General features: G+C 40.5%; 1 protein-coding gene and 2 long non-coding RNA genes across 3 annotated transcripts in view, besides 1 other annotated feature; 2 read left to right on the top strand and 1 right to left on the bottom strand.

Moving 5' to 3' along the window:
* Positions 1-16668, bottom strand: part of PENK-AS1 (PENK antisense RNA 1) — a 106261-nt gene extending 89593 nt beyond the window's left edge. The window contains exon 1 of the long non-coding RNA NR_125813.1: positions 15975-16668. This is a non-coding gene — a long non-coding RNA (PENK antisense RNA 1). The remainder of the gene's footprint in view (positions 1-15974) is intronic.
* Positions 15834-21518, top strand: PENK (proenkephalin). Its single transcript, NM_001135690.3, has 4 exons — positions 15834-15906; positions 15994-16049; positions 16519-16659; positions 20538-21518. The coding sequence occupies exons 3-4, from the start codon at positions 16522-16524 to the stop codon at positions 21201-21203; spliced, it is 804 nt and encodes a 267-aa protein (NP_001129162.1). The 5' UTR covers positions 15834-15906; positions 15994-16049; positions 16519-16521; the 3' UTR covers positions 21204-21518.
* Positions 16172-17063: an enhancer, noted in NCBI's record as "H3K27ac-H3K4me1 hESC enhancer chr8:57357971-57358862 (GRCh37/hg19 assembly coordinates)". NCBI's record gives its function as "activates a minimal SCP1, AML or CMV promoter by ChIP-STARR-seq in primed H9 embryonic stem cells {active_cell/tissue: H9 hESC(primed)}" and the evidence as "EXISTENCE:reporter gene assay evidence [ECO:0000049][PMID:30033119]".
* Positions 21519-23807: 2289 nt separating the features above from the next.
* LOC124901948 (uncharacterized) lies at positions 23808-25801 on the top strand. The gene is made up of 2 exons (XR_007060914.1): positions 23808-24040; positions 25399-25801. It is a non-coding gene; the product is annotated as an uncharacterized LOC124901948 (long non-coding RNA).
* Positions 25802-27180: the final 1379 nt, after the last annotated feature.

Raw genomic sequence — 27180 nt, 5'->3', positions numbered from 1 at the left:
CAAGTCAATGCCCATTCACACTCCCTTGCATCTCAACAACTCCCATCACTGACAGGCTCCTTCCTGTCACTCTGCCTTGTCCTGGGATCCTCTCTTGTGCCTTTCTCACTTATTCACATCCTCCCCTCTGTGGACAGTCTGAGTCCTAGTCCAAACACATCTTACTTTTCCTAATTTGCTCTATACCTACAGATACATTGGAGATTAATACTACATAATATATACCAAATGAAATAACTATTCACAAGATTTTTGTGTGCTATCCAGAACTCATTTTTTCTAGGAATATCTTGTTACAGTTTTATGAAGCAGCTTTCTACCTATAGTTATAAATTATTCTATTATTATAATTTTTGATATGGAGCACTGGATCCATGCAGATAAACAGCCTGTTTCCTTCAATCATTACAAGAATATTCCCTTTCTTTCATGATTTGAACACTCTACTAAGGCAACCAAATCATAGCTCAAGAAAAGAGGCCAAGAATATGATAATCCAGGAATTTTTAAAAAGGCCATTTTGCCTCAGAAATTTAAGCTTAACACAGCACTTTAAAAAGGGTCATTAATAAAGAAGTTCACACCAAGACACATTATAAGGAAATTGTAAAAAAAAAAAAAAAAAAAAGAGAGAGAGAGAGAATTTTGAAAATACCAAGAGAAAAGCAACTCAGTAAGGGAACCCCTATAGACTATCAGTGGATTTCTCAGCAGAAACTGTGAAAGTAGAAGGAAGTGGGATGATATATTCAAAGTGCTAAAATATTTTTTAACTGTCAACCAAGAATATTATATCTGGTAAACTGTCCCTCAAACATGAAGGAGACAGGGCCAGGCATGGTGGTTCGCACCTGTAATCCTAGCACTTTGGGAGGCTGAGGCAAGAGGATTGCTTGAGCTCAGGAGTTCAAGACCAGCTGGGGCAACATAGTGAGGCCCAGTCTTTATTAAAATAAAGAAAAAAAATGAAGGAGAGATAAAGGTTTTCCCAGATAAACAATCACTGAGAGAGTTCATCACTAGACATACCTTACAAGAAATGCTAAAGTGAGTCCTTTAAGTTAAAAAGAAAAATACTAAACATGAAAGCATAAGAAAATATAAAGCTTGCTGGTAAAGGTAAATATATAAACAAATATGGAATACTGTAATACTATAACAGTGGAATATAAATGACTTTTTAATTTTGGCACACAATATAAAATATATAATCTGTGACACCAATAACAAAGATGGAGAGAGTAAAAGGGTAAAGTTTTTGTATGTCATTGAATTTATTATCAGCTTAAAATAGATGTGATAACTATAAGATGTTTTATGTAGGACCTATAATAAACACAAAGAAAATACCTATGAAGATACACAAAAGAAAATGAGAAAAAATAAAAATATGTCACCACAAAATGTCAACAACAAAAAAAGCAAAATAAAGACAGCAAGAGAGGAAAAGAGAGACAAAAGTGCTAAAGACAGACAGGAAACTATTAACAAAATGGCAATAGTAAGTCTATCCTTATTAATAATTTCTTTAAATACAAATGGACCAAACTCCCTAGTCAAAAGGCAGAGAATTACTGGGACAAAACTATATGCTTTCCACAAAAGACTTACTTTAGATTTAAGGACACACATAGATTGAAAGTGAAAGAATGGAAAAAGATATGCAAATGACAACTACCAAAAGAGGGAAAGAATGGCCATACTTACGTCAGACAAATTGACTTTAAGTCAAAAATTGTCACTAGCGAAAAAGAAGGACATTATATAATGATAAAAGAATCAATTCACCAGGAAGACATAATAATTATACATATATATGTGTATATACACATGTGGATATATACACATACATATATGCAAATATTAGAGCATCTAAAGATACAAGAGAAACATTCATCAAACTCAAGAAAGAAATAGAAAGAAGAAATATAAGTAGATAGCAACACAATAATAGTAGGAAATTTCAATAGCTCACTTTCAATAATGGATAGAACATCTAAAAAGAAAATTGATAAGAAAACAGAATGTGAACAACACTATACACCAAATGGACCTAACAGGCATATAGAGAACATTCCACGCAACAGCAGCAGAATACACATTCCTCTCAAGAATGTACTGAATATTATCCACAATAGATCACATTTTAGATCACAAAACATGTCTGAATGAATTTAAGAAAATTGAAAATTATAACAAATATCTTTCCTGATCACAATGGAATAAAAATAGAAATCAACAGCAGAAGGAAAACTTGAAAATTCAAAAATGTAGAAATGAAACAACACACTTTTGAATAACCAATAGGACAAAGAAAAAAATTAAAAAGAAAATTAAAAAATATCTTGAGACAAACAAAAACAAAATATGGTATATCATACCAAATCTTATGGGATGTAGCAAAGGCAGTACTAAGAGGAAAGTTTATAGTGTTAAACTCCTACACTTAAAAAGAAAAAATATCTTAAATAGAAGACCTAACTCTACACCTAAAGAAATTAGAAAAAAAGCAACCATGTGCAAATTTAGCAGAAGGAAGGAAATAATGTAGATTACAGCAGAAATAAATTAAATAGAGAATAGAAAAAAATCATTAAAACTAAGGATTTGTTTTTTGAGAATATCAACAAAATTGACAAACATTTGGCTAGACTAAGAAAAAAAGAGAAAAGATTCAAAGAAAACCGGAAAAAAAAGAGAAGCCATTACAACTGACGAATACAAAGGATCATAAGAGACTACTATCAACAATGATGCACCAACAAATTGGATAACCTAGAAGAAATTCCTAGAAACATTCAACCTACCAAGACTGAATCATGAAAAAATAGAAAATCTAAACAGACATAATTAACAAAGACATTGAATCAGTAGTCAAAAGTCCCCCAAAAAAGAAAAGCCCAAGACCACATAATTTCACTGGTGAATTCTACCAAACCTTTAAAGAAGAATTAATGCGAATCTTTCTCAAACACTCATAAAACATGTTTAAAGTGAGGAACACTTCCAAACTCATTATATGAGGCCAGCATTACCCTGATACAAAGGCCAGAGAAAGACACTATGAGAAAAGAAAGCTACAGGTCAATATCCCTAATAAATACACATGTAAATATTCTTAACAATATATGAGCAAACAGACCATTAAAAGGATCTTAACCATGACTCAAGTGGGAGTTACCCCTGGGATATAAAGATGGTTTATCATATGAAAATCAATCAATGTGATACACCACATTAACAGAACAAAGAATAAAAATCACAAATAATGATCTCAATAGATGCAGAACAAGCATTTGACAAAATTCAACACACTTTCATTAAAAAAATCAATACACAACGAAGAGAAGGAAATTATATCAACATAATAAAGGCTATATATGAAAAGTCCACAGCTAACATTATACTCGATGGTGAAAAACTAAAACTTTTCCTGTGACATCAAGAAGAAGAAAAGGATGCCTGCTCTTGCCACTCCATTTACCATAGTAATGGAAGTCCTAGCCAGAACAATTTGGTAAGAAAAAGAAATAAATGGCATTCAAATCTCAAAGAAAGAAGTAAAATTATTGCAGTTTGTGGATCACATGATCTTATATAGAGGAAACTGTAAAAGCTCCACCAATAAACTATTAGAACTAATAAATAAATTTAGTGACACTGAAGGATAAGAAGTAACATACAAACATCAGGTGTGTTTTTATACACTAATAAATCATCTGAAAAGGAAATTAATAAAATAATCCAATTTACAATGGCATCATTAAAGAATAAGCTTAAGCATAAGCTTAACCAAGGAAATAAAAAACTTACACACTGAAAACTACAAAACATTGCTGAAAGGAATTAAAGAAGAAAGAAAGAAATAGAAAGACATTCTATGTTAATGGATTGGAAGATTTAATATTGTTACAATGTCTGTACTACTCAAAGTGATCTACAGACCTGATGCAATCTCTATCAAAATCACAATGGCACTTTTTACAAAAATTAGAAAAAAATGATTCTAAAATTCAGATGGAACCACAAAGGACCCTGAACAGCCAAAACTATCTTAAGAAAAAAAGAACAAAGCTTGAGGTCCCACATTTCCTGATTTCAAAATATATTACAAAGCTACAATGGCAAAAAAAGAACACAGTATAATACTGACATAAATACAGATACATTAGTCAATGGAATAGAATAGACAGCAAAGAAATCCATGCATTTATGGTGAGTTGATTTTTAACAAAGGTGCAGAGAAAACACAATGGGGAACAAATAGTCTCTCCAACAGATGGTGTTGGGAAAACTGGATATACACATTAAAAAGAAGAAAATTGGATCATTATCTTACACAAAAATCAACTCAAAATGGGGTAAAGATTTATACATAAGATCCGAAACCACAAAACTACTAGAAGGAAAGCATTGTGGAAATGCTTCATTACTCTGGTGACAATTTCTTGGATAAGACACCAAAAAATAGGCAAGAAATGCAAAAATAAACAAGTGGAACCACATCAATCTAAAAAGCTTCTGCATAGCCAAGGAAACAGTCAACAGAGTGACAAGGTAACCTATGAAATGGGAGAAAATATTTGTAAGTCATATATTTCATAATAGGTTAATATCCAAAATATATCCAAACAATAGATTAAAACAACTTATTTTAAAATGGTCAAAAGTTTAGAATAGACATTTCTCCAGAGAATATATATAAATGGTCAACAAGTATATGAAAAGATTCTCATATCTTTTCATGATCATTAATCATCAGAGAAATGCCAATCAAAACGACAATGAAATATTATCTCACATCTGCTAAAATAGCCATTATGTTAAAAAAAAAAACAGAAATTAAGAAGTTTTAGCAAGGACATGGAAAAATTAGAACGCTTGTGACTGCTGGTGGAAAGGTAAAATGGTGCAGCCACTATGAAGATGGGTATGAAGGTTACTCAAGAAATTAAAAATAGAACTGCCATATGATCCAGCAATCCTACATCTGTGTATTTATCCAAATAATTGAAATCAGGATCTCAAAGAGATATTAGCACTCCCATGATCATTGAAGCATTCTACACAGTGTGAGATGGGGTCCAATTTCATCCATTTGCTTGTGGATATCCAGTTTTCCCAACACCATTGATTAAAGACAGCATCTTCCCCATTGTGTGTTTTTAGCATTTTTGTCAGAGATCAATTGATCATAAATCCATGGATTTATTTCTGGGTTCTCTATACTCTTCTGCTTTACCATTGGCCTATATGTTTATTTGTACGCTGATCTCATTCTGTTTTGATTACGATAGGTTTGCAGTATATTTGTTATCAGGTAATCTCTTCAGCTTTCTTCTTTTTCCTCAAGATTACTTTAGCTGTTTGGATGTTTTGTGGTTCCATACAGATTTTAGGATTATTTCTTCTATTTCTGTGGAAACAGATGCCATTGAAATTTTTATAGGGATTGCACTGAATCTTTAGATCCCTTTGGTAGTAGGAATATGTTAACAATATTAATTATTCCAATTCATAAACATGAGATATCTTTCTTTATGTCTTCCTTAATTTATTTCATCAATGATTCATAGTTTTCAATGTACAGATCTCTTACCCCCTTGGTTAAATTTATTCCTAAGTAATTTTTAACTCTATTGTTTGCTTGATTTCTTTTTCAGATAGCCATCATTAGTTTACAGAAACACAGCTGATTTTACTTGTTGATTTTGTATCTTGTAATTTCACTGAATTTGTTCATTAGTTCTAACAGGGTTTTTGGTGTGTCCTAGTTGTACATTTTATATACAAGTCTGCCTGTGATCCATTTTCAGTTAATTTTTTTAAAGGTGTAAGATCTGTGTCTAGTTTCATTTATTTGCATATGAATGTCCCATTGTTCAAGCACCATTTGTTGAAAAGACTTTCTCTGTTGTAGTGCTTCTGCTTCTTTGTCAAAAATCAGTGGGCTATATTTATGTGGGTAAATTTCTGGGCTGTCTATTCTGTTCCATTAACCTATTTGTCTATTCTTTTGCCAATAGCATACTGTTTTGATCACTATTTTTATAAGTCAGCTTTGTAGTAAGACTTGAAGTCAAGTGGTGTCAGTCCTCCAAGTTTGTTCTTCTCCTTCAGTAAGTGCTGACTATTCTGGCTTTTTTGCCATCCACATAAACTTTAGACTCAGTTTGTCAATAAACATAAAATACCTTGCTGGGATTTTTACTAGATTGCATTGAATCTATAGATAACTCTGGGAAGAACTAACATCTTGAAAATATTGAGTCTACCTATCCATCAATACGGAATATCTCTCCATTTATTTAGCTTTTCTTCAATTTCTTTCGTCAGAGTTTTGTAGTTTTCCTATAGATTTTGTACATATGCTGATAAATCTGGGGGGTCCCAGTGTACATGGTACAGTGTTTTTAAATTTCAAATTCCACTTGCCATTGTTGGTATATAGAAAAGTGACTGACTTTTGTGTACTAACCTAACATCCTGCAACCCTGCTATAATTGCTTATTAGTTCTAGGAGGTTTTTTTTAATTATTTCAGATTTTCTATACAGATGATCATGTCACTGTATAGAAATAAAGATAGCTTTATTTACTCCTTCCCAATCTATAAACCTTTCAATCTATTTTCTTATCTTATTGCATTAGCTAGGACTTCCAGCAGGCCCTCAAATATTTCATTTTGTTGTAATGTTGATGAGAAAAAAAATCAATTCCTAGCCAGGGTCACTGTTATGTGTGGAGTTTGCACATTCTTCCCATGTCTGCATAGGTTTTCTCTGGGTACTCCAGCTTCCTCCTACATCCCAAAGATGTGCACATTAGGTGAATTGGCATGACCACATTGTCCCAGTCTGAGTGAGGGTGGGGGTGTGTGTGAGTGTGCCCTGCGATGAAATGACATCCTGTCCAGGGTTGGTTCCTGCCTTGTGTTTTGAGCTGCTGGAATATGCTCCAGCCATGTACAACCCTGAATTGGAATAAAGAAGACTGGAAAATGAATGAATGAATGAATACAAATTATCATAAAATAACAATTCATAAAATATAGGACAATTATATAAATGCACAAGAAACAATGCAGTACAAATGTGCTCATCAAACCCACCATATTTGTTATTGTTTGTTTTTGAACTGAATGATGGTAGGAGGTGTTCCTTACAATTTTTACCTTGCAAACATTCCTTGATTTAACCCACTACTATGACTGTTGTCACTCACTGATTCACCAAAAATTGGGTAAATACTTATCTTACTGGTTTTAATTAATCATTCTAAAATGCATATATAGTTCTTATTTATTTTAATCTTTAATATTAGAAATGTTTAGGGTTTCATTTAGAAGTTCGGTGATGTTTTTGTGACCAGGAATATACCTTAGGAACTTAACTCTTGTTTATGTCAATTAGCCTATGGTAAAATTGGTTTCATTACACATTGTTTTGCTTAAAGTCACAGTTTCTAAGAAACTATCAACAACTGTTAAGTGGGGACTTACTATACAATGTGAATATGCTGAACAAAAGGATGATTGGCATCCCAATGGGACAGAGGAAGGTGGCATGAGATTTCATCACACTACTCAGAATGGTGCACAACTTAAAGCATATGAACTATTCATTTCTGGAATTTTCCATTTAATAATTTCTGACTGTAGTTGACTGCAAGTAACTAAAACCAAACAAAGGAAAACCATGGATAAGGGAGGACTACCCAAAATGACATAAAAACATGAAGACAGGATAATAAGACAGAGAAATCTAACAAATCTAATCTATCCTAATTTCCATCATTTCTTTTCTTCTACTTACTTTAATTTGATCTTTTTCTTCCAGTTTCCTAAGGTGGAAGCTTAGTTGATTGGTTTTAGATTTTTCTTCTTTTCAAACATATGCATTCAATACTACAAATTTCCCTCTATGCACTGCTTTTACTGCATCCCACAAATTTTGATAAGTTGTGTTTTCATTTTAACTCAATTCTAAGTTACTTTTAAATTTCTCTTGAGATTTCTTCCTTGACCCATATGTTATTTAGAAGTGTTTTTTCATCTCCAAGTATTTTGGGGTTTTCCATTCATCTTTCTATTATGGATTTCTTGTTTAATTCCATTGTGGTTTGACAGCAGGCATTGTATGATTCATATTCTTGTAAATTTGCTGTGGTGTGTTTTATGGCCCAGAATGTGGTCTATCTTGGGGAATGTTTTGTGTTAGCTTGAGAAGGATGGATATTCTGCTGTTGTTGGATGAAACAGTCTGTAGATATCTATTATATTCAATTGCCTGATGGTGTTGTTGAGTTCAGCTTTGTCCTTACCAATTTTGCGCCTGCTGGATCTGTCCATTGCTGACAGAGGGGTGTTGAAGCCTCCAAATATAATAGTGAATTCATCTATGTCTCCCTGCAGTCCTACCCGTTTTTGCCTATGTATTTTGATGCTCTGTTGTTAGGTGCACACACATTAAGAATTTTTATGTCTTCTTGAAGAAGTAATCCCTTTATCATTATGTAATGGTCCTCTTCACCCCTGATAACTTTTTCTGGTCTGAAGTCTTCTCTGGTTGCAATTAATATAGCTACTTTTGCTTTCTTTTTATTAGTTTTAGCACAGCTCTCACCAGTTGTTTACTTTTAATCTATATGTACCTTTATATTTACATGGACTTTTTGTGGACAACACATGGTTGAAACTTGTTTCTTATTCCACTCTGACAATATCTTTTAATTAGTGTATTTAGGTCACTGAAATCCAAACCAGTTATTGATACAGTTGGATTCCTATCTACCATATGTGTTATCGTTTTCTATTTGTTGCCTTTGTTATTTTTGTCTTCTACTCTTTTTCTGACTTTTGTGGTTTTAATTGAGTATTTTATATCATTCTATCTTCTCTCCCTTAGTAGCATATCAGTTGTCCTTTTTTTAACTTTTTAAAGTGTTTACCCTAGATTTTACAGTATACATTTACAAGGAATCCAAGTCCAATTTCAAATAATGTAATAACACTTCACAGGTAATGTGAGTACCTTACAATGACAAAATAATTATAATTCCTTCCTCTTGTTTCTTGTATCATTGCTCCCATTTATTTCACTTACATATAAGCGTACCTAAACATATATCTGCACATAAGCATACATAATCAAATACACTGTTGCTTTTATTATTTTAAACAAAGTGTTATTTATTAGATCAATCAACAATAACAAAATACAAGTTTTTATTTTACCTTCACTTATTCTTTCTCTGATACTCTTCCGTTTTTAACGTAGATCCAAGTTTTTGACCTTTATTATTTTCCTTCTCTCTAAAGAATTTAACATTTCTTGCAAGGCAGGTTTACTGGCAATCAATTCTCTCAATTTTTGTTTGTCTAAGAAATTATTTCTCTTTCACATTGGAAGGACAATTTCACAAAATAAAGAATTCTAGCTTGATGGGGTTTTTTTTTCTCTTAATACTTTCAATATTTTACTCCTGTCTCTTCTTGCTTGCATGATTTCTGAGAAATCAGATGTAGTTATTATCTTTTTTTTTTTTTTTTTTTGAGATGGAGTCTTGCTCTGTCACCAGGCTTGAGTGCAGTGGCACGATCTCAGCTCACTGCAACCTCCACCTCCCAGGTTGAAGCGATTCTCCTGCCTCAGCCTCCCGAGTAGCTGGGACTACAGGCGCCTGCCACCATGCCTGGCTAATTTTTTTGTATTTTTTAAGTAGAGACGGGGTTTCAGCGTGTTAGCCAGAATGGTCTTGATCTCCTGACCTCGTGATCCACCCGCCTCTGCCTCCCAAAGTGCTGGGCTTACAGGTGTGAGCCACCGCACCCGGTGGTAGTTCTTATCTTTACTCCTCTACGGGTAAGGTGTTCTTCCCCTCTCTGGCTTCCTTCAGGATGCTTTCCTTATGTTTGATTTTCTGTAGTTTGAAAATAGTATGCACAGGTATAGGGTTTTTGGCATTTATCCTGCTCAGTGTTGTCTGGGCTTCCTGACAACATATCCTGATATATAGGGGTTAGCGTCTGACAAAATTTGGGGCAATTCTCAGTTACTATTGTTTCAAACATTTCTTCTGTTTCTCTCTTCTCCTTTTGGAATTCTCATTACATTTGTGTTACTGCTTTTATAATGGTCCTGCAGTTCTTGGATATTCTGTTTTTTGTTTTTTGTTTTTTCAGTCTTTTTTATCTTTGCCTTTCAGTTTTGGCAGTTTCTATTGACATATCCCCAAGTCCAGAGATTCTTTCCTCAGCCATATCCAGTCTAACAATAAACCCATCAAAGGCATTTTTCATTTCTGTGACAGTGTTTTTGATTTCTAGCATTTCTTCTAGGATCTTTCTTAGAATTTCTGTTTCTTTGCTTACATTGCCCATCTGTTCTTGCATGCTGTCTACCTCATCCTTTAGTGTTTTAATCATAGCTGTTTTAAGTTCCCCATCTGGTAATTCTAACATCTCTGACATATCTGAGCCTGGTTCTGATGCTTGCTCTGTCTCTTCAAACTGTGGGGATTTTTTTTTTTTTTTTTTGGTTTTTAGTATGTCTTGTAATTTTTTCTTGACAGCCAGACTTGATGTACTGGGTAAACGGAAATGTTATAAATATGCCTTTAGTAATGTGTTGATAAAGCAGGAAGGGAGTGTTCTGCAGTCCTCTGAGTAGGTCTCAGTCTTTAGTGAGCCTGTACCTCTGGGCTGTGAACTTTACATATGTTCTTAGTCCCCAGCCTCCCCTTCAGTAGAACACAATGGCTGGAGGGGGCTGGAGTTGGGTATTTCCAGTCCCTCAGGTCAGCTATTTTCTGATAAAACTTCAGGAGATTAGACTCTGGTTAACTAGGTTCTCCTGTGGGCAAACCTTGTTAGGAACACAATGTTCCGGTGTATTTCAAAATGGCTCTTTTTTCCCTCCCACTGCTTGAAGCACAAGGGAAATTTTTTCCATTATTCATTGTGAGAACCTGGTTGAACACCTGTAAGTAAAACTCATGAAAGTGTGGAGGCCTCCGTGGACTGGGTTCTCCTGGAATTTTTATCTCAGATTTGTTCACACAGTTTCCCGGAATTTGTCAGCTGTAGTTCAGGTTTTTCTACCTCCCAACTGATTCTCTGGGAGGTTTCTGCACCAGCAAGCCAGGACCCCCTGTGTTTGCCTGTTGGTCTCTCCAATTTGGGGGGACAGTGGTTTCCCCTGTGACCCAACCTCTATGATAGATCTAAGAAGAGTCGTGGTTTTTCAGTTTGCTCAGTTTTTATTTGATAGCTTTGAAAGATTTGAGTGCTTTCCCTATATAATTTTATTAAAACAGTTTGACCTCTTGGGTCTATCCCACCATTCACCATCACTTGGGAGCTATGGAAGATGTAACTATAAGCAAAAACACATGTTTTAAAAGCAACTTCACTGAGTCTCTACTATGTGCAAACATCTGTGCTGTGGATCATACGCAAAGGGATTCCCTTAAGAACTTGGTATCCTGCAGCCATTGCATTCATTCCAATAACTTACTATTGATCAAAATCTATTTAGAACTTCTCTTCTAGCATTCCTTCAACTGTGGAAATTGTCTGTGGTGGATGAATATTTTTGAATGCCTTCTATACAGGTCCCATAAGTGGGATCTAATATTTGATTTCAGAAACAACCAAAACACCAAATCAAAGTCAAGTTGTTGAATAAGGTTTGAATCCAATGAGGTGACACAATTTTTTTTGTGATGGAGTCTTGCTCTGTCGCCCAAGCTGGAGTGCAGTGACGCAATCTCGACTCACTGCAAGCTCCACCTCCCAGCTTCCTGCCATTCTCCTGCCTCAGCCTCCTGAGTAGCTAGGACTACAGGCACCCGCCACCACACCCAGCTCATTTTTTTTGTATTTTTATTAGAGACGGGGTTTCACTGAGGCAACACAATTTTTTAACATTGACTGGTTCTCTCACGTGGCTATTAAATTTCTCAAGGCAATTTCAAAAGTCATTATTAAAAGTCGAGCTGCTCAAGACATACTCTATTGGTTGGACTCACAGCTATATCTTATTTTAATCTAATTTTTCATAATAGGACTTGCTTTATTCATTGTCTAATTACCTATACTTAATAGTAAGATTGATCTTTTCCCTCCTGGAGAGCAAAAGGCCAAAGTTAGGAAGTGTGTTTCAATCCTCCCTAAGTTTACAGTACATAAACAATATGTTTGATATTCTTGGTTTAATTTACCTTCCCTTTCTCCCCACCTCCTCTGACACATTGACATGTTTTCTATTATTTAAACTCATTCTATTATTTAATTTATATTATTTAAACTCTTTCTATTATTTAATCTGGCAACTTTGTACCAGATTACCTTTTCTTCCTAGAGTTTTATTCTATTTCCTGGTACATTTTCCAGAATGTTCCAACACTGACTTTCCTTAAAATGGGGTTTGTGACACCATAAAACATCTCGTTCAAGCCAACCCCACTTCCAGCTGCTCTGTTATGGTGTTCTGAGCCAGTCTGAAAAAGAATCCCTTAACAGTGCTACTTCACAGTTATATGCCCAACTCACAGAATCACATTTTGCAAACTGTGCACTTTAGATTGTAACTGAAAACGGGGATGTCTCCCCTGACTCTGGCATGACTCCAAACATCTGAAATGTTAGAACATGTTGCTTTTATGCTGAACCATCACACAATTGCCTGAGTGCTGAAGGGGCTTGTTTCCACTACTGCTACTTTAGAGAGAGGGGGGCAGACAGAAATGGCTTTCTGTAATAAAACACGTGTGCTTGGGTGACAGGAAGGGGAGGGGAGCAGAGGAGTGAGTACCAGAAAGACGTCATTCAATTTAGCCATCTTCCATCTGAAAATAATGGAAGAGGACACTAAAAGAACATTGTAAAATCCCACCTTTTTAGACTCTGAGAACACCTAAGAACTGAGTAAAATGCCATTCATCATCAGGGTTAAAAAGTCAGATTTCTTGGTCTCTAGGATGAATCCCTTTGGGCAAATGCTTGGGACCCTAGGATCAGAAGATGAGTTATTGATCCTAACCTGAAAATAAAAAATGTCTGGATTGAATGCTTTAAGACAGAGCCCCTTCCCTTTTTTAGTCTGATTTCTAGAGCAGCTTTCTCCCAGATCATAACTGCAAAGTCTGTTCACTCTTGATAAATATTTAAAAGATGATGAAAAAATGAATTTCTTACAACTCATTGCCACCAGAATGACTTTTAGTTTCTCAGGTCGATGGGGGAGGATGATGGGAAGAGATGTCACTGATTTGGGGTAGGCAAACAAGGTCGACCTCCTATCACTTCATTCATTCAGTCAGTCAGCCGGTCGACACACATTTACCAAGCAACCACTGTGCCCCAAGCATCTAGGAAGGTCTCGTGGGGGACTGCACACTCTTGCACTGCCCCTAGGAGGCGCCCTCTCTTTCCCTTTCTGTTTCTCTCTCCCCTGACATTTCAGGAGTCTCAGGGGAAAATGCAAATGCGCCAAGAGACCCTAACTCAGAGCAAACATGACTAGTTCCAACAGAAACAAACTAGGCCTGAGGTAGGTTTCGGGAAGGAACTCAGAGGCTGGAAAACCTGGTCTGCCACTGCCCTGGCTGGTCACTCAGACGTTCTGAGCCTTGGTTTTTACCATCTGTAGAACGGGCGGTGGAATAAATTATCCCTAAAACCTCTCCCAAACTTAAGCTTCTACTTTTCCAAGATCCTAACGAGCCTTTGTGTCGCCAGGGTGCAGAAATGCACTGTTTCCACTACTGCGCGCTGTGCACCCTTAAAAAGCATCGCGTGATGTGGTCATTCCAAACACACACACACACACACAAACACACACACACACACACACACACCTACCTCAGCCTCCCGCTCCTGATTATGCGTTTAAAGTTCTTAGGTGATCCCAGGTTCGCAAGTGCTCAGCTATAGCAAGTTTCCTTTAATTTTAGGTAGAATTTGTTCATGCAATACTTTCGCACTGAGTACTGCAGTGGAGTCAGCTTCCTTTCCAAAGCCCAGGCAACAAGGAAAAATCTGAAGTAAAGACAAAAGCTCTCCTTTGCCTTGGGGAGAGAGTAAGGAGCTAGTAAGGGGCCCCATGATGAAAAGAACCTAAAGCGGGAAACATTGTGTTTTCCTGCTCAGAGGGTAATGCTGGCTCCCTAGGGCTATGTCCGGGGTTCTCCAGCCCCACTCCAGGGCTCTGCTTTCCCGACCTTGCTACCGTGATGCCCCGGCCGGGAGGCAGGCGGTGCTCGGGTGCAGCTTCGGGGCTAATCCGAGGGCTGCGTGTCAAGCCCGCACATTGAGGCCTGCGGAGAACTGAGACCCCAGTCCCCGCAAGCCCAGCCTACGCAGGAGAGCGCTGCCCTCTAGCGACTATAATGGGACATGCAGCGCGGCCGGAGCCCCGCGGGAGCAGCGCCGCTGCAGGTCCTAGCGACTGTAGAAATCAGCCCTTTGCAGAGGGCGCAGAGGGCCTGGAAACCTCTGGGACCTTTTCCCAGGAACTGTTTATGGTTTCCCCCTAGGTCTAGGAGACATAGATGCATAGGTGGATTGGATACATCGATGGTAGCTATAAGGTAAGCAGACAATGGTCACAGATGGAAAGGTGGACGGACGGATGACGGATGGTTAGAAGATGTTTTGAGGGCTTGCTATAGTGCCAGGCACAAGGCTAAGAGATTTCGTCCACTATTTCATTTGATTCTCTCCAGAACCTTATGAATGGCATATTACCTCTGTTCCTATTTTTCAAATAGGGAAACTGAGGCCTCAGGCAATGTAAGCAGCTTGCCGCTTAGCAATCTTTTGCAGAGCCAGGAAGCGGGAAAGCGTGTCTTAATGGACAGTACCAGCCTCCACAGTGTGCCCTCGGCCCCCTCCCGGTGGAGAAGAGGTTCCAAGCCCCGGCGTCCCGGGTAGGGTGTCCCTCATCCCTCCCTCCCCACCACACTCCTGGCGCGCTGACATTACACCCGCCCCGGCACCCCCCTCTCACTGATCCAACACCCCCGGACACCCTGGACAGCGCTCTCAAGGCAGTAGGTCTTCGACTTGGGAGCCCCGGGGAGCTGGTTAAACACGGATCCTCTCCCACAGTGGCTGAAAAGCGCGCAGTCCCGGAACCTGAGGGTTTACCTGCTTCTACGCTTGGCCAAGGGTCTCTAACTGGAAAGGTGAAAATTCTGTCCTGAGATTTTAAGATTCCCAGAAACTTTCAATCGTTCAGTTCCTGTAACCATTAATTGAGCGCCTAAACTGCGCACCTTGACGCTGTTAGATGCTGCAGTAAGGAACTCGGAGTCAAGTGTGGGGGACAGGTTGGTCAATAAATGACGACATTCCGGACGGCTGTGCTTGGTGCCCACGGGGACCCGCGAGGGGGCCCAGGGAGGAGGCGGGAAAGGGGCAGGTTCACCGGCCCGCTGGGTCTCCAGCACATTCCAGAAGTCTAAGCCAGTCCATCTATCCTTCCAAACGCCCCCACCTCGCTTCCCTCCCTGGAGCCCGCATCCCACGGTGCAATTTCAGTGACTTTATGCGGAGAAACTTGATCCTATCTCACTCTCCCCAAACTTCCTAACTGCCTTGGGTTTGTCACCTGGCCGTGTGGGGAGCCACCGAGCGCCCCCTGTGGCCCCCACCCGAGCTCGGCGGGGGGAGCGGCGCGCGGGTGCTGGGGGACCGACCCCTCCCGCGAAGGCGTCGGCGCGGGGCTGGCGTAGGGCCTGCGTCAGCTGCAGCCCGCCGGCGATTGGGGCGCGCGCGCCTCCTTCGGTTTGGGGCTAATTATAAAGTGGCTCCAGCAGCCGTTAAGCCCCGGGACGGCGAGGCAGGCGCTCAGAGCCCCGCAGCCTGGCCCGTGACCCCGCAGAGACGCTGAGGACCGCGACGGTGAGGCCCTACGTCCGCCAGCACACCCGGGCCCGCTTCTCCCCGACGCCCGCCCTCCTCACACTTGCCTTCTTCTCTTCCCTCTAGAGTCGTGTCTGAACCCGGCTTTTCCAATTGGCCTGCTCCATCCGAACAGCGTCAACGTGAGTGAATTTGCCCGAAGCTTGTCTTTGCTGAGCGGGTTTGGGGACGTCTGCCCGCCCTCTTTCCCTTCACATTTCATTGCATGGGTTCCCCAACAGCGTTCCCTGGTTCTTCTTTGTGACCCCAGTCAATGTCCTGCCTCCCCCGGCTCCCGCTCTCTCGCCCCTGGTCTGCGGCGTTCTCTCCGGAATCTTGCCCTGGGCCGCGGACGCCCAGGAAAAGAGCCGGGTGCCCCAGGCAGCCTCGCGTTGGGGGCGACCGCGCCATCCCGGGAACCGCGAGGCGATCTGAGTCGCCTCCACGTCTACCTAAAAGCTGTCGGCCGGGAGGGCGGGGCCCCAGAAAGGAGCATTCCTGCGGGCTTTTGCTCGACGATCCCCTGCTGAGGCTGTCGCGGCGAGGGTCCTGCCGAGGGACCCCGTTCTGCGCCCAGGCAGGCTCGAAGCACGCGTCCCTCTCTCCTCGCAGTCCATGGCGCGGTTCCTGACACTTTGCACTTGGCTGCTGTTGCTCGGCCCCGGGCTCCTGGCGACCGTGCGGGCCGAATGCAGCCAGGATTGCGCGACGTGCAGCTACCGCCTAGTGCGCCCGGCCGACATCAACTTCCTGGTGAGTGTTGCGCGCGGCGAGTGTTGCGCACCTTGTGAGACAGAGTTTCCGCAACAGTACGCGGACTGCCTCCGGCCCACCGCGCGGCGCGTATGGCGGTTCGCACCGGGTCGGAGCCGCAGCGGCGCGAGCCCGTGGTGACCTGGGTGTCTCAGCTGTTCCTGGAACACTGACTGAAGTCCTGCCCTGGCTCTTAGCTTCGGGGATCCGCGACTATCTGGGGACCGGTAAGGGTAGCGGTGTCGCCGCACAAACCAAGTTTGTTTTAACCCTGGGAATTCGGGAACCCCGAGAAGTCCTCTGTTCAGCACCTCGGATAGCACTGGGTTCTCTCCTGGGCTGTCAGAAGGAAGATGGCTGTCACCACAACTCCTAACATATCCCAGCTAAGGGCCCCTCCACACGCAGTCATCTTCCCATCTTTCCCACAAATAATGTAATTTTTTGTTAGTGACATTTCGGTGCCTTTCTTTAGATTTATGTTCCCCAGCTCTCTTAACCTCAGGTCCCTCATTCCCTACCCTCACCTGTAAATAGGAGAGAGCAAAGGGATGGAAAAGGGGTACGGGGAGAGGAAGGCGAAATAACCGTAGACAGGAAAGAGTTCAAACTGTCTCACTAGCCAGTGATGCTGGAATTCAACTTCTGTTTCAACTGCCCTTTGTAATAGTAACTAAAACAACAGTTTAATTTGGCTATGAGAAAGGAACAAGAGAAGTGGCCAGTGTCCAATGGGTGACAACAGTCCAAAGATACACTGCACTACAGGGGGTTGGGGAAAGAAAAAGCTGAGGACAAAATAACTTTCATTCTGATCATGGTTCCCCATGGGCTGTCGAATCACCTCTGGTGCTCTACTGAGTCTGAATCTCCAACCTCGAGACTCAGGTAGCTTCACTTTTACCAGCTCCCCTGACAATTCCTTTGCATTGCTTTTGAAATTTGTTGAAATTTTATGGTGACTTAAAAAGCTCATAGAGAATAATGTATTCATCCAAGCTGCTTTGGGTTCCACCTGGAATTGAGGAAATTTTACCTTATGTAGATGTTTGAAATGGGGAGAAAACCAAGGAACAGTTTCCAAATATCTGTGGTATATATTTCAGGTTAAATGTTTGTTTCTTTGACCTGTGCTAACTTGGCATTAAAGAGAAGACACATAGGAAGGTTGTATATTTAAACTATGAGAAAAATGTTTCATCTTCAATAGGAGAAACAATCCCCTTCACCCATCTTTCTTCTTTCTCCTGTAGTCATGAGCTTTTAACCTATGCCTAAAAATTGAGCCAGTGCTACAAATATAAGGATAGATCTTGTGGATAAAGAATTTTAGACACAGAAGGAGGAAGAAAAATCCAAAACATGCCACATAGAAGACTCCACTTTCTGACCCCATAATTCCCTGTGCCCAGTCACACATATTTTGAGCTTTGCCTGCTCAACATGTCAGGGGCTCAGCCCCCTCCCCTAGCTTTCTCTGCCATCTGAATAAAGGTTATATGGATTCTAGTCTAATTTTTCTAATCACACAGACTGACCCCAAAGTAGTATCATATTTACTTAAATTATGTGAGTTAGCGAATTAATATGACTGACTTTTAATCATGCCTATTCAAATGGGTTTTTTTCATACTTAATCTATTTGATTCACCAAGCTCCCAAAATGCTACTAATCTTCCTTTTGCATTGTTGAGGAACTTGAGCAGAGCTCACTGGGTAGCAGCTAGCTCTTCCCTGGGTATCACCTCAAATCTTGACTTCTCTCCCTCTCTCACCCTCTTCTCATCATGTAACAGGATTGTGGGGGAGGAGAAGAGGAAGGCTGCTCTTTCCAGAATTTTCCATACTGCTTTTTATGCTCTTGTTGTTATCACTTATTACTATTATCATTACTTTAATCCAGGTGATGGAATGGCACGTGTAGTGTTAGCAACTTGAAAAAAATAGATAATAAGCAACCATCAATAAAAATAGTCTTATAGAAAGGCATTTTGCATAATAACTGATTTGCATTGGACCCTACATTTAGGGTTGTTATTGTCTCAATGACAAAAGGTTTACTTAGTGACTGTCTCGCTAGAATTACAACATTCTGGGATTTTGGCTCGGATGCAAAAGACATGTGAGAAACGAGGTTGCCTAGCCAAAATTATGTAGTGAAATCAATGTAACAAATATTTACTGAGCTTCTACCATGAGAAAGACACTTATGATTGGTACTGTGGTGGATGCAGAGATGAGCAGGCGTGCTATGGCTGATGTCCAGATAGAATTTCCCATCTAATGTGATCTTGACCATACCACACAAAGTGTGGTAAATACCACAAAACATGCATACATGGTTATAGGAGCCATCAGTTAACATCGCTACCTTAGTACGAGTGCATTATTCTGATATTTGTTACTATTTGGTTTTGAAGGAATCTCACATCACATACATTTAAAAATCTTTTGGTATTAGTATGCAAAACATTCAACATTAATTTTTAACAACAAGATCACTTAGATACAACTTTAGAATGGAAATATTATTGCTCCTTAAATATCTTAAGCTTCTAATGGTGTTTTTATTTGTTCATCATATGTCAGGAATAAAATAAGACATTTTAATTATTAATGGATCATCTTTAGATTCTTACGTAGTTATATATTTAATCTTCTCAGACACGAAGCTTAAATACTCATTAAGAGCTTACTAAATACGTGCCTTCAAGATTTTGTTGCACTAATAAAATGCTTTCTTTCATTGTGAAAATAATATATGTGTATTTAACATCACTTAATATACCAGTATATTTTTAATAATACCAAGAAAGACTTCAGAGGGCTGTAAAAAACTCCTGAAATGCTAAGAAATATCATGCATGTTTTGTAAATGTTCACATATTAGTACTCTCTTTATCATACCCAAGTGATGTGTTAAATAGAAAAAAACTTAAGATCATTCGAATGTATAGACTTACAATGATTTTATATTTAATATTTATATAAGAAAAAGGAAAGAATGTATGCTGATGATTCCTATTTTACCAAACACCATGATTTCCATTGAAAAATACTTTTTCTGTACAACAGTGACTAAATGTGAAGAAAATAAACATGAATAATTTGTGCACTTGCATTTGTATAATTTTATATCTGATCTCATCATTATAGACATTTTGTTCAAAATAATAAAGTCTGTTGTATCCAGCAAAGAAAAAAGGAAAAAAACAAAAGATCTGTACTTACAACAAATTAACAAATTAATAAGAATGCAAATAATTCATCAGATTTAAATTGAGTTTTTAGGATGTGTTTATAAACTTTTTTTAAATTGTTGTTTTTCTTTGAAGATTGAAAGTATTTGCAGGAATACTCGATACCATTTTAGGTAAAATATTAACACAAGAAAGCAAATGACCCTTAGGTTATTAATATTGATTTTATCTCTAAGACAAGAAGATAAAAGGAATTTTGAGGAAATATCCCTGATTAGGTAAATAAAAATTTCTCCTTTTTGGTTAGAAAAATCTCAAACAAAATTATATCAGAAGTGGAAAATTATCCAGTGAAATTAGATTGTGAAAGCAGTCAATCTAAGTTAAAACTGCATGGAAAATTTTTTTTTAAATTCTTTAAAATTTCTATGGGTTTAAAATCCAAAGGCAGATTCCTAACTGGATTCAGTGAACCCCTCCACTTTCACCTTTCCAAATTTTATTTGTTTCATTTGCATGCTCAGCCTTATGAAAAGTCGTGATAAGAAATTGGAGATGACCTTATTATAATAAGGAAGTTATGATGTCAAAGCAAGCATATTTTGGTCCACAAAAGTTCATTTGCTTAATGAAATCACAGAAGCTTCTTTTTATCATTACATCAAATTGTTTTCCCAGGCTTGCGTAATGGAATGTGAAGGTAAACTGCCTTCTCTGAAAATTTGGGAAACCTGCAAGGAGCTCCTGCAGCTGTCCAAACCAGAGCTTCCTCAAGATGGCACCAGCACCCTCAGAGAAAATAGCAAACCGGAAGAAAGCCATTTGCTAGCCAAAAGGTATGGGGGCTTCATGAAAAGGTATGGAGGCTTCATGAAGAAAATGGATGAGCTTTATCCCATGGAGCCAGAAGAAGAGGCCAATGGAAGTGAGATCCTCGCCAAGCGGTATGGGGGCTTCATGAAGAAGGATGCAGAGGAGGACGACTCGCTGGCCAATTCCTCAGACCTGCTAAAAGAGCTTCTGGAAACAGGGGACAACCGAGAGCGTAGCCACCACCAGGATGGCAGTGATAATGAGGAAGAAGTGAGCAAGAGATATGGGGGCTTCATGAGAGGCTTAAAGAGAAGCCCCCAACTGGAAGATGAAGCCAAAGAGCTGCAGAAGCGATATGGGGGCTTCATGAGAAGAGTAGGTCGCCCAGAGTGGTGGATGGACTACCAGAAACGGTATGGAGGTTTCCTGAAGCGCTTTGCCGAGGCTCTGCCCTCCGACGAAGAAGGCGAAAGTTACTCCAAAGAAGTTCCTGAAATGGAAAAAAGATACGGAGGATTTATGAGATTTTAATATCTTTTCCCACTAGTGGCCCCAGGCCCCAGCAAGCCTCCCTCCATCCTCCAGTGGGAAACTGTTGATGGTGTTTTATTGTCATGTGTTGCTTGCCTTGTATAGTTGACTTCATTGTCTGGATAACTATACAACCTGAAAACTGTCATTTCAGGTTCTGTGCTCTTTTTGGAGTCTTTAAGCTCAGTATTAGTCTATTGCAGCTATCTCGTTTTCATGCTAAAATAGTTTTTGTTATCTTGTCTCTTATTTTTGACAAACATCAATAAATGCTTACTTGTATATAGAGATAATAAACCTATTACCCCAAGTGCATAATATCCTTGTAAGTCTCTTTTTCTCCAAGGCTCTCATTTACCTTTGGGTTTCCGCATCAATCCTAGACTCAGGGACAGTAGAACCATCTGCTTTTGACATAATTTTGACATCATAATCATTGTCTTTCTTCTCCTTCAGCCAAGGCTCAAAAACATTTTTTATTTAATTCCTCACAGCATGAAATCTTAGATTAGTAAACACGTGGGAGCAAAATAAAATGTATTTTCACTCTCATTTCTGGAAATCAGATACATGAAGAAAAACCAAAGCCTAATAAAGGAGCCAGCTATGCCCCCATTAAACACACACACACACACACACACACACATACTTGCATTTACATCAGATGTGTATGTCTCTTTTCTTCAGTAAAGTATTTTAGAAGTTAGTAAGAAATTAAAGATAATTTAGTCCAATTTTACAAATGAAGAAAGGGAAGCCAAGAAAGGTTGTGTAGTTGGCCCAAAGTTGCCCAGCAGTTGAAGGACAAAAATAGGATTAAAACCCCAAACTTTTTGTGCCCAGTCAATATCCTTTTCACTGCGGTTCCTTATCTCCTATCCACGTCACTAGTAAGAATTGTAAGAACGTGGAACTACATCTTAGTCACCATTGTACACCTCTACACTATGACTGTAGCAGATTCTCCAATATCGGATGAATGGATATATGAATGATGAATAAATTAATTTGGTGACCAGATAATGAGGAAAGATATTGTGAGTGTTTTGTAAGGTAAATCCCCAAAACACAAGGTGCTTATGACTACTTCATATTAATGAGACAATGCTCAGATATAAGAAATGTAACTTTTCATTTTTCTTATTATTATTATTATACTTTAAGTTTTAGGGTACATGTGCACAGCATGCAGGTTTGTTACGTATGTAAACATGTGCCATTAACTCGTCATTCTGGTTTCTCTTCAGATCGTGCAAATCTTTCGCCTTTAACTTTTCATTTTTCTAACTGAAACAACATACGGCTTAACCCCTACTCACTAAATCATTTTTCCAGGACCCCCACCAACCCTTTCTCTTGTGTTTCTCAAAACATTGGAATTTAGCAACTCTGGAAAGTGGGGGACGAGTCTCTGGTCTGCAGTCTACCAAGGCTGCTGCCGAGATGCTCACTGTGCAAGCCTGTGTGCCCCATCTGATAAGGCAGCTGCACTGTGCTCGGCAGTTTGTTCTCTCTGTACAGCCCCGCCAGGGCTCACAGGACATCCACATGATCATGCTGTTAGGAGACCCATCTCCTGGAATTAGTGCAAGGAATCACAGGGCCCCACACTCACAGAGCCCCAACTCCATCAATCTTCCTGATCCTTGGTAAACTAATTTTTTCTTCCAGGCAAAGCCCGGGAGGAAAAAAGATAATACAATAATTATTGATAAGATAATGCCATTATTATCTCACAATAGTCCAATATGTATACTTACATATCTCATACAATGTGTTTGAGAAAATAACAAAGTTCACCATCAGACAAATACATTTTTCAAAGCAAGCGCAGTTTCATGCGCGTCGGTGTGAAGAGACCACCAAACAGGCTTTGTGTGAGCAATAAAGCTTTTAATCATCTGGGTGCAGGCGGGCTGAGTCCGAAAAGAGAGTCAGCAAAGGGAGATAAGGGTGAGGCCATTTTATAAGATTTGGGTAGGTAAAGGAAAATTACAGTCAAAGGGGGGTTGTTCTCTGGCGGGCAGGTGTGGGGGTCACAAGGTGCTCAGTAGGGGAGCTTTTGAGCCAGGACGAGCCAGGAGAAGGAATTTCACAAGATAATGTCATCACTTAAGGCAAGAACAGGCCATTTTCACTTCTTTTGTGGTAGAATGTCATCAGTTAAAGCAGGAACTGGCCATCTGGATGTGTACGTGCAGGTCACAGGGGATATGATGGCTTAGCTTGGGCTCAGAGGCCTGACACACAGTTCTTTTTTTTTTTTTTTAGAGATGAGGGCTCACTTGGTTGCCCAGGCTGGAGTGCAGTCGCTAGCTCACTTCAGCCTCGGCTTCCTGGCCTCAAGCAATCCTCCCGCCTCAGCCTCACAAAATGCTGAGATTACAGGCGTGAGCCACCGCGCCTGGCCAAGCACAGTTTTTTTAATCTAGGAGGCTTTCTTCTCTTTTGGGGAAGCAGTGTAGACTGGGCTAAGGCACTCGTGGTAGTTAAGAGTTGTCTGCGGCTCCATTTCACCCCCCACCCCCCAACACTACCCCCCCCACGCCCCGCCGGTCGCCTCCGCCAAGGGCCGCACGATGCTCGGGGTGGGACAGCGTCACACACTTGCAGTTCCTCAATTCTCTCATGTCTGGTGTAGAATCGGGAACCTAGAGGATGCTTCAAAATTGCCTAGGGAAGGAAGGAACAGAGGAGAGGGGTCGGGACACGAGGAAAGGGGAAAGGGACGATCGGGGATGACTCCTCTCCAGGCCGCGGAGCGATGCCAACCAAGGCTGTGCGCCCGCCCCGGGCATTACAGGACGCAGGACCCCCTCCTCCAGAGGTCCTCAGCAGTAAGTACGGGCGGTCGTCCACAAAACATGACTCGAGGGGGTTGCGTAGGCCTCACTCACTCTCCAAATTTCTCCTGAGCTGTCTGGCCTTCAATTTGAAATTGCAGCATTAGAAGTTTGCTTTCCAACTCTTAAGGGCTTTGATGTTTGATGTTTTTAAGAATTTCCTATTTGAATTCTGAGGGGCCCAGGCCCCCTAGGTTGCTATTCTAAGGGCCGCTAGCCGGACTTTGTTGTGGCACTCGGTGCGTACTCAGCGCATATGTCTGAGTTCTGAAAACACGAGACAGGCTAAGGTGGGGACTAACCTAGGACTAGGACTTAGGGTGAGATGAACCCAAAGCCACAGCTGATTTGAGAGGGTCTCAGAGAAAACCACGTGGAACAAGAAGAAGGAAAATCCACAACCTGCAGAGGGCGCTGCTGCTCCATTCCGCGCTCTCCCGGTGCTGGGGCTGGTTCCTACCCACTCGGGCCTTCCACTGCCACCACCAAGCCTGCGTCCCGCTCTGGGCTCCCTCTGAGAGTTCATTTGTGAGGCCAGGCTGCCTGCATCGAAATCCCAGGTAGCTGTGTGAACTGCAGCTCTCCCTGCCTTGGTTTCTCCTCTGTGCCTCATTCAGTTGTTGTGATAAGTAAAATGTGTTAGGGTGTAGAGTCTTTAAGCCAGGGCCAGCGCACAGCAGCACTTACAGGATTAGCAGCCACGATTGCTCTTCCACGTGGATCTTGGGCTCCCCCACCCCACCACACACACCCACTTCACCCTGGCTCTTTCAGAGATTAGATACCATCCATGAGCCTCCGTCCTGGTCACCAGGCAGGGGGCTCCTTTCCTGACAGTTATATCCCACGAGGCAGAAACTGCTTGCAAAGCCACCTCATACTCATCTTCACTTGTTCGGTTTTCTATTACAAACCTGGAAAACCTGTGTAATCAAAGAATTATCCACATGTCATTCTGCATTTGTCCAAACCACAGAAGGTCCAACACCAAGAGCGAACCCTAATGTAAACTATGGCCTCTCGGTGATAATGATGTGTCAGTGCAGGTTCATCAACCTTAACAACTGGACCTCTCTGGCGGGGCCTGTTGATCATGTGGGAGGCTGTGCATGTGCCTGGACAAGGTGCATACAGGAAATCTCTGTACCTGACACTCAATTCTGCTGTGAACCTAAAACTGGTCTTAAAAAGAGAGAGGAGAGAGAGAGAGAGAGAAATTATCCAAAAATAAAACGCATGAAGACTCTGAGCCTTGAGCTAAAACGATTCTTAGGAGAAGATAGGGGAGGGGTGTAAAGCTTTGACCATTTTTATTTATGTGTTTGTTTTTCTTCTTTTCCTGAAATGTACAGAAGCACCCCCGCATAGATCAATTCATTCATTCAACAAATGAATATTTGATGGAAGAGGCTCCAGATGGAGGGAAGAGCCAGTGCAATGCCTCAAAATGGAGACATGGTGTATTAATGGAGAAGCAGCAGGACTTGTGAAAGCCTGGGACGAGGGCTTGGGGTTTTATTCTCAATATGATAGAAAATGATTCAAGGCTGAGAGCAGGAGAGTGGCAGGATATACTGACTTATTTAAATCTCACTGTCTCCCACAAAGAACAAGTTTTATCTCTCCTCATGCTCCTGAGAGAAGAATGTACTGCTTATCTACCATCATTTCTGCATCCATCGAAACATCTGGGTTTACCTGAAAAGAAATTATATAAAACTTTCAGTGTTTTCTAATAAAAATGCAATGAATACATTCTTTATCAATTCCTATTCCAAAAATCAGAACTCACAGCACTCGCCAATAGCTTTGAGAATGACAAATTACAAACAAAACAAAACATACAATTATATTATTGGCCAGGCATGTATGTCTCTGCAGGGAGTGCAAAATTCACATCTGCAGAGGAGCTTGGCAATAGCCTAAACACAGCCATCCATGTTTCATGCTTATCCTTCTTCTCTTACCTTTTTTTTTATCAGGTATAACATAAACACAAAGAGTTCCACATATCACGAGGGCACTTCTCACTGGATTGCTATGAAGGAAACATTCCCATGAACCACCCTCCAGGGAAAGAAAGAGAATATCACCTGCATCTCAAAAACCCCACTCATGGCCCCCCCAGTTAACCATTCTTCCCTTCTGCCCAAGGTGACCACCCTCAGGACTTCGAAAAACCATGGATTAGTTCGCCTGTTTTTAAATTTTATAGACATGGAAACACACTTTTCCCCCCATCTATTTGGCTCCATATTTGATTTGTGAGATTCATCCATGGTGTTGCATATCGACATGGTTCATTCTTTTTATTGCCACAGACTATTCAATTGTATGAAAATACGACAGTTCCATTTCATTACTCGTGGATGCCTGGATGGTTTCCAGGTTTTGGCTATTGCAAATAATGCTGCTATGATTGTGTACACTTTATTCTGCCACGTTTCTTTCACTTTGTGTATCTTGGCAATATTTCTACATCAACATGTGAGTCTACCTGATGCACTTTAACTACTGCATGGAATTGTGTCATATATATGCTTTGGGTTTTTTCTTAATAACTCCACTAGCAATTAGTTTTTTTCACATTACAAACAGTGCTTCAGTAAACATCCTCCACTGTGTCTCTTAGCACACATGACACATTTCTCCTGGGTACTTAACTGAGAGCAGACTTGCCAGATCATAGCACATACGTGTATTCAACTGTCATTTATAGCGCCTGACAGCTTTAAAGAGTTTGTACTAGGCTGGGCGCGGTGGCTCTCACCTGTAATCCCAGCACTTTGGGAGGCCAAGGCAGGTGGATCACCTGAGGTTGGGAGTTTGAGACCAGCCTGGCCAACATGGTGAAACCCCGTCTCTACTAAAAATACAAAATATTAGCTGGGCGTAGTGGTGTGCACCTATAATCCCAGCTACTCAGGAGGCTGAGGCAGGAGAATCACTTGAACCCAGGAGGTGGAGGTTGCAGTGAGCTGAGATCGCGCCATTGCACTCCAGCCTGGGCAACAAGAGTGAAACTCGGTCTCAAAAAAAAAAAGTTTGTACTGTTTTGGACTTCTACTTGCAGTATAGCCCACCAATACTTCATATTGTCAGTCTTTTCAAAGTAGGCCATTCTGTTTTAATTT

Source organism: Homo sapiens, chromosome 8, assembly GCF_000001405.40.
Source record: "Homo sapiens chromosome 8, GRCh38.p14 Primary Assembly".
In the NCBI taxonomy this organism is placed as follows: domain Eukaryota; kingdom Metazoa; phylum Chordata; class Mammalia; order Primates; family Hominidae; genus Homo; species Homo sapiens.
Note: the sequence above shows the minus strand (reverse complement) of the source record. Positions and strands in the feature narration are given on the sequence as shown.